An 8,192-nucleotide genomic window follows, 5' to 3' on the forward strand; every position below is an offset into this window, starting at 1 on the left:
CACTATTCTCCTGCCTCAGCCTCCCAAGTAGCTGGGACTATAGGCACCCACCACCACACCCGGCTAATTTTTTTTGTATTTTTAGTAGAGACAGGGTTTCACTGTGTTAACCAGGATGGTCTTGATCTCCTGACCTCGTAATCTGCCTGCCTCAGCCTCCCAAATTGCTGGGATTACAGGCGTGAGCCACCACGGCCTGTCGATTTCTCTATTTTTAGTGAAAGGAGATAGTGAAAGGAGTAGGATAACGGGAGTGGGAGCAGAAGGTTTCATAAGTGAAAAAAGTCTAGAGAGTGGAAAGAAAGGGAATTTTGGTTGGATTATTCATATGTATATTGAAGTTAACAAGGATAATGGCAGAAATTGAGATAGACAGGGAAGACTGTGAGCCATGTGTCAGTCTGTGAATGAGATTGAATAACTAGGAGGTTAGTCCTTACAAAGGGAAGAAGAGCTGAATTAGATGATCTTCAAAAAATAGGGAGAATATGTTTTGTTTTTATAAGACCAGGGGATTAATGATTTGGAAGAACGGGGCAGGTGCAGTGGCTCACGCCTGTAATCCCAGTACTTTGGGAGGCTGAGGCCGGTGGATCACTTGACGTCAGGAGTTTGAGACCAGCTGGTCAACATGGTGAAACCCTGCCTCTACTAAAAATACAAAAATTAGCTGAGTATGGTGGTGCACGCCTGTAGTCCTAGCTACTTGGGCAGCTGAGACAAGAGAATTGCTTGAACCCAGGAGGTACAAGCTGCAGTGAGCCAAGATTGTGTCACTGCACTCCAGCCTGGGCAACAGAATGAGACTCTGTCTCAAAAAAAAAAAAAAAAAAAAAGATTTGGAAGAGGCAATAAAGAGTACACAATGGATACCACACACCCCTTCTTTTCTGAGGCTGCAGAACCTATGGGAGAATAAGCAACTGCCTCTCTAGGACTCTGGAGAAAGAGTCAGGGAAGTGTCAAATGAGTAATCAGTGAAGAAACTGAGTAATATGGGAATTTAATAGCCTTTACCGAACAAGTCAATGGACATTATATTTTAATTTAATTTTAATGTTTTGGGGAGGGATGAAGTCTTACTCTGTTGCCCAGGCTGGAGTGCAGTGGCGCAATCTCAGCTCACTGCAACCTCTGCCTCCTGGGTTCAAGCGATTCTTGTGCCTCAGCCTCCTAAGTAGCTGGGATTACAGGCACGTGCCACCACGCCTGGCTATTTTTTGTATTTTTAGTAGAGAAGGGGTTTTGTGCTGCTGCCAGGCTGGTCTTGAACTCGTGACCTGAAGCGATCCAACCACCTCGGCTTCCCAAAGTGCTGGGATTACAGGCGTGAGCCACCGCGCCCTGCTGAGTTATATTTTATAGGGAACATTTAAACATTTGACGTTACAAGCAGAGTCATTTGTATATTCTTATTTTTTCTTTCTTTCCCACTTACTTCACTTTTACTACTTCACATTTTCACCAAATCAAGGTGTGCAGAGTTTATTTCACATTAATGTATTAATTGGATTTTTTTTTTGTGTGTCAAATAGGGAATTCTCTTTAAACAATCTCTGTATTTCACAGCTGGTCCAAGAGCAAATGAGAACAAATTCTAATATATCCAGGGGAAATTATCACTAACCAGGCATAAAGCTTAAAGGGAAGAGGGTAGGCTGAGGAGGCTAGTGGCAGGTCACAGTTAGCACACAGGGCCAGGCTTGGTCCCAGGATTCAGGCAGGAGCCCTTGTTCCCAGCCCACCCAGCAGTCCTCAGATGGCATGATGGGTGGACATGAATTCTCGAATTCCAGTCTGAGGTGCCTCTTCTAGAGAGAAGAGAGATGACAGGAGGTAAAGGGAAACAAATTCTGGAAATAACCAGTAGGGAAGCAGAGGGACTTCTTCCCCTGCCACCATCAGAGGCCTTGCCTCTGATTACACCCATGGAAGCTCATGTTAAAGCTTCAAATGTCACAGAGGTGGCAACAGAATGATCAAGGATCAGAGAGGGAGTTGGAGACCAACCTGGGCAACATAACAAGACTCCATCTCTATAAAAAATGAAAAGAAAAATAGCCAGGCATGGTGGTGTGTGCTACTTGGGAGGCTGCAGTGGGAGGATTGCTTAAGCCCAGGAGGTCCAGGCAACATTGAGCTATGACTGCACCACTGCACTCCAGCCTGGGTGACACAGCGAGACACTGTCTCCTAAAAAAAAAAAAAAAAAAAAAAAAAAAAAAAAAGAGGATAGGGAAGTGAATTGCGAATTTCAGTATGACTGTGGCTGGAGCCTGGCTGAATAGAATGTGGGTTGACAGTCTGAAAAGACAGTGGCTTTCCATAGCTAGGCAGATGCCAAAGTGGAAGGAATGTAAGTAGTTCTTGGCGGGGCACCCTCAGGGATGACACTTGGCTGATCTGATGGTGCTTATGAGGGTGAGTGTAAAGTGGCTACCAAAATGAGGGAGCTGGACTATGGTAGAGGAGGTAACCAGAGAATCCCTCTGTGGGGAGAAGTTACTAGAGCAAAACAGGAACAAGGGGCACACCTTGTGCTCCTGAGTAGAGCCCCAGAGATGGTGAGAGGGAAGAATGGCTGAATAGTGCCCATGGGCTCTGCAGCATGGAAAGCTGTGAGGCACTGCTCCAGAGTCAAGGAGCCTCCCCTCTTCCTTCAACGCCATTCCTGGTAACTGTTTATAATCAGTCCTGGAGAAGAACAATGCCCTCCCTTCTCCCACAACCCCAGACTCAGCCCCAAAGAGAGGGGTAAAGAGTGATGAGTGGTAGGAGGCAGGGAAGTGTGAGGGATCTACTGGGTGTCTTTTTTTTTTTTTAACTGGGTGTCTTTTAACATTTTTTAAATTTTAATTTTTTGGGGGTATATTGAGTTTTCCTATCTTCCAAGACCAGGGAGGATAGTATGGAGGTGGTGGAGGCTGGTACCTATGCATGTAGATGTTATGTGAGTTGCCCAGGTTGTAATAGGCTCTGGCAGCTGCTTCTCGGCCTTGGCTGCAGGAATGGAGGGAATTTTGGGGCTTCTGATGGGAGGTTCCAGGGGCCCAGGATAGGGCAGTGCCATGGGGCTGCACCTGTTTCATGGCCCTATCCATGATGGGAGGTCCCAGATAGAACTCAGGCGGAGGTAGTGGATAGGAGTACAGAAGGGCAGGAGTGCATTCCATTGCAGCTGGTGATGAGAGGCACAGGCCCCACCGGGCATGTAAGAGCATCTATAGGCTCCACTGGGGGTTTACCTCTGGAGGCTTAAAATGCCACCCGTAGCACCCATTGTCCAAACTCAATGATGCTCCCTGCTGTAAAGGTATGAAGCAGAGCCTTCCCAGTCACCTCCTGCTTCACTGTTGCCTCGATGTAGTTTGGACTACACACAAGTTACTTGATTCTCATAGTACTCCTTTTGATAAAATGGCATCATGAAAGACCGCATGGCATCCTTTCCCGTGGACCAAAAGATGACCTGGTAAGGGATAAGGTAAATTGTATGTTTCTGGGTCCTTCTAAAGGCCTCTGGCATCTTCTTCATGTCACTGAATGTAAGTTCCACATGGTTATAGGACATAAGGATGCTCTTGCTTTTGCTGACCATCACTCTGCCACCCTCTGAGCGATTCTTGTTGAATGCTTTAGTCTCTCCTGTATACTCTCATTTTGATGCCCTTTTGCATAGCTGCTTTTCCATATCAGGTTATTTGAACAATATCTTATCTTGCCTTTCAGGGATTATATGGAATAAAAGAAGAACTCTTTCTCAGTATCCCTTGTGTCTTGGGGCGGAATGGTGTCTCAGATGTTGTGAAAATTAACTTGAATTCTGAGGAGGAGGCCCTTTTCAAGAAGAGTGCAGAAACACTTTGGAATATTCAAAAGGATCTAATATTTTAAATTAAAGCCTTCTAATGTTCCACTGTTTGGAGAACAGAAGATAGCAGGCTGTGTATTTTAAATTTTGAAAGTATTTTCATTTGATCTTTAAAAAATAAAAACAAATTGGAGACCTGTGACATAACTCTAGTCTCTCAAGATTAGAACGAGCAAATGGTAAAGAGATTTTCCTCTTTAAGAATCATTTATAGCTCTATTCTAATGATACCCAATCTGTACAGGTGTAAGTTATACTTCTGAGGTATGTCACATATGTTAGAGTGCCTTCAGATGTAGTAGAATATGTATAATCACTATAATACAGAGCTTTGATTCTTTTCACAAACCAAGCCCTTTTTCTAGTATTACAATTTTATCTTGTACTTTCATCCGTTAGAGTACCAGCATATTCACTTCATTACATTAGCGTCATATGTTTATGTATAATCATTATAAATGTGGCCGGGCACTGCAGCCTGGGTGAAAGAGTGAGGCTCTGTCTCAAAAAAAATCATTATAAATGCTTATTTTTAAGACCATATATATCAAAAAGAAATAAAAAGCTGAGTGCTGTGGCTCATGGCTGTAATCCCAGTGCTTTGGGAGGGTGAGGCAAGAGGATCACATGAGTCCAGGAGTTTGAGACCAGCCTTGGCAACATAGCAACACCCCATCTCTACAAAAATAAAGAAATTAGATGTGGTGGCCTGCATCTGTAGTCCAGCTACTTGGGAGACTGAGACCAGTAGATAACTTGAGCCCAGGAGTTCAAGGCTATGATTGTGTCACTGCACTCCAGCCTGGGCCACAGAGGAAGACTCAGACTCAAAAGAAGAAGAAGAACACAGAAGAAAAGCAGAAACAAGAAGAAGATACAGATGTAACTTTACGATGTAAAAAATCTAAATAAGATTGTATTCAACTCTGCAAGTATTATACTAGTCATATAAACTCAAATAGTTGATTTGGTGTCTCAATTGAAATATCACCTGGGGAGCTTATGCCATCCTCAGTTATTTGTGCAGCAGACTATTACTATGCTTGCTATGGTATAGTTATGAAATCAGTATGACATTATCTCTGCCCTCAAGTATCCACAGTGAGTATTTAGGGTACCTCAACGAATTGATTTTTGACTAATTTTTTTTTCCTTTTTGAGATGGAGTCTCACTCTGTCACCTAGGCTAGAGTGCAGTGACACGATCTGTGCTCACTACAACCTCCACCTCCTGGGTTCAAGTGATTCTTCTGCCTCAGCCTCCCAAGTAGCTGGGATTACAGGCACCCACCACCACGCCTGGCTAATTTTTTTATTTTTAGTAGAGACAGGGTTTCACCATGTTGGCCAGGCTGGTCTTGAACTCCTGACCTCAAGTGAGCTGCCCACCTCAGCCTCCTAAAGTACTGGGATTACAGGTGTGAGCAACTGCGCCCGGCTGATTATTGACTAATGTTTGATAATAGTCATTAATAGCTCCCTGTTGGTGTCTAAAGGTGAAAATGCTTCTACTGATTTATATAGTATATAGATACATATGAAGTATTTCCTTGATTCCACAAGAAATTTAAGGCAGCTATAGGAACTATACAATAAAACAAAAACTAAGAAATCAGTATCAAGGTAATTTACAATTTTTTTTCTTTTTTTAGACAAGGTCTTGTTCTGTCACCCAGGCTGGAGCTGGAGTGCAGCGGGTAATTGTGGCTCGCTGCAGCCTCGAACTCCAGGGCTCATCAGATCCTCCCACCTCAGCCTCCTGAGTAGCTGAGACTACAGGCACATGCCACCACGCCCTGCAGATTTTCGTATTTTTTGGAGACAGGGTTTCACCATGTTGCCCAGGCTGGTCCTCAACTCCTGGGCTCAAGCAGTCCTCCTGCCTCGGCCCCCCAAAGTGCTGGGATTATAGGCATGAGCCACCACTCCTGGTCAATTTACAAATTAAGACTAGAACTGGACCAATGGGAAAGATCAGAAGGTAGATATGCAGCCCCTGAGGACTCGCATGACTAGTGAAGGCTGACTCATTTGGTCAGAGAGTCATGGCTTACCCTCTGAGTCTGTTATTCTTGCTCTCTTGATAGCTTTCATTCTGGTCATCTACTCCTGATCATGATTAGTGTCCCATTATTTTATTATTTCCCCTTTTTCTTCAGCATCTTCCCTTGAATATATACAATTATTATCAGTTGAGTTAGGATGAGGGCAAGGGGAGTCTTCTGTGGGTTTTGGCTTTTTTAAAAGCTCGTTTGTACATCAAAACTTCATTTTAGGAAATTCTTGCAGAGATTAAAAGGCTGAAAAATTGATACAGTTTCTACAGGGAACATTCTAGTAAGTAAAACTGCTCTACATGTCCCCAAGTGGCTGAAAATTGGTTCTGGGTATGGGGGAGGGAGGAAAAGGTAAAAAAAAACTTAGATATTACAAGAGTTTGGCTCTCCAGAGCTCAACCTTGCCTGACAAATAAACGTATATGTATATGTGTATGTGTGTGTATATATATATATATATATATATATATATATATATATATATAGGTTTTTTTTTTTTTTTTTTTTTTTTAAGAGATGGAGTCTTGCTCTGTCACCCAGGCTGCAGTGCGGTGGCGCAAGCTCCACTCACTGCAACCTCCACCTCCCAGGTTCAAGCAATTCTCCTGCCTCAGCCTCCTGAGTAGCTGGGACTACAGGTGCCTGCTACCACGCCCGGCTAATTCCTTTCCTTTTTTTTTTTTTTTTTTTGAGACGGAGTCTCGCTCTGTGGCCCAGGCTGGAGTGCAGTGGCACGATCTCGGCTCACTGCAAGCTCCGCCTCCCCGGTTCGCGCCATTCTCCTGCCTCAGCCTCCCGAGTAGCTGACGCCTGGCTAATTTCTTTTATATTAGTAGAGACGGGCTTTCACCGTTTTGCCCAGGCTGGTCTCGAACTCCTAAGATCAGGCAATCCGCCCGCCTCGGCCTCCCAAAGTGCTAGGGTTACAGCCGTGAGCCACCGCGCCCGGCCAACTCCTTAATATTTAATTTCATGATGGGGGTGCAAAACAATTAGGGGGAACATATCTACAAAGACTCTTGAGGGAGTGATAATGAAAAAAGATTGAGAAACACTGCTCTACATTTTATAAAAATTTGTCAATATGTATTACTGTATTAGGGTTCTCTAGAGGGACAGAACGAATAGGATAGCTATATATATAAAGGGGAGTTTATTGAGGAGTATTGACTCACACAATCACAAGGTGAGGTCCCACAACAATAGGCCGTCTGCAAGCTGAGAAGCAAGAAAGTCAGTCGGAGTTCCAAAGCTGAAGAACTAGGAGTCCAATGTTTGAGGGCAGGAAGCATCCAGCACAGGAGAAAGATGAAGGCTGGAAGACTTAGCCAGTCTAGTCCCTCCACGTTCCTCTGCCTGCTTTTATCCTAGACGTGCTGGCAGCTGACTAGATGGTGCTCACCCGGATAGAGGGTGGGTTTGCGTCTTCTAGCCTACTGACTCAAATGTTAATTTCCTGTGGCAACACCCTCACAGACACACCCAGGTTCAACACTTTGCATCCTTCAATCCAATCAAGTTGACACTCAGTATTAACCATCAAAATTACGTATTATGATTCACAAATGAGAAAACAATTAGGTAAAATGTGGTGGGAGAAGTAGAAACCTTGGTTTATTCCAGACTGATTTTCAATTCTACATTTTTGTTTTTTATTTTTGAGACGGAGTCTCACTCTGTCACCCAGGCTGGAGGGCAGTGGCATGATCTCGGCTCACCAAAACCTCCGCCTCCCGGGTTCAAACGATTCTCCTGCCCCAGCCTCCTGAGTAGCTGGGATTACAGGTGCGTGCCACCACACCCGGCTAATTTTTGTATTTTTAGTAGAGACGGGGTTTCGCCATGTTGGCCAGGCTGGTCTCGAACTCCTGACCTCAGCTAATCCACCCGCCTCGGCCTCCCAAAGTGTGGATTCTACATTTAACCACTTAATAATGAATTGAGCTTTCCCTTCATCTTGTAAAAATGGTTATCAATTGGCACTGCATTCATCAAATTCTTCAGGTTTCATATCTTATTTCCAAATTCCTTTTGCATACAGAGTTTTGTTGTTGTTTTGAGACAGGGTCTCACTCCGTCACCCAGGCTGGAGTGCAGTGGCACAATTTCGGCTTACTGCAACCTCCGCCTCCCAGGTTCACAAACAATTCTTGTGCTTCAGCCTCCCAGGTAGCTGGGATTACAGGGGTGCACCACCACGTCCAGCTAATTTTTGTATTTTTAGTAGAAACGTGGTTTCACGATGTTGGCCAGGCTGATTTCGA

General features: G+C 44.3%; 1 protein-coding gene across 3 annotated transcripts in view; it reads left to right on the forward strand.

Moving 5' to 3' along the window:
* LDHC (lactate dehydrogenase C) overlaps positions 1-4,830 on the forward strand; it is a 39,746-nt gene extending 34,916 nt beyond the window's left edge. For all 3 annotated transcript variants that reach the window (NM_002301.5, NM_017448.5, XM_047426934.1), the window contains one exon: positions 3,730-4,830. In NM_002301.5, the coding sequence (NP_002292.1) occupies positions 3,730-3,894 (165 nt within the window). In that variant the 3' untranslated portion in view covers positions 3,895-4,830. The remainder of the gene's footprint in view (positions 1-3,729) is intronic.

The sequence above is a fragment of the Homo sapiens genome, chromosome 11 (assembly GCF_000001405.40).
Source record: "Homo sapiens chromosome 11, GRCh38.p14 Primary Assembly".
Lineage (NCBI taxonomy): Eukaryota > Metazoa > Chordata > Mammalia > Primates > Hominidae > Homo > Homo sapiens.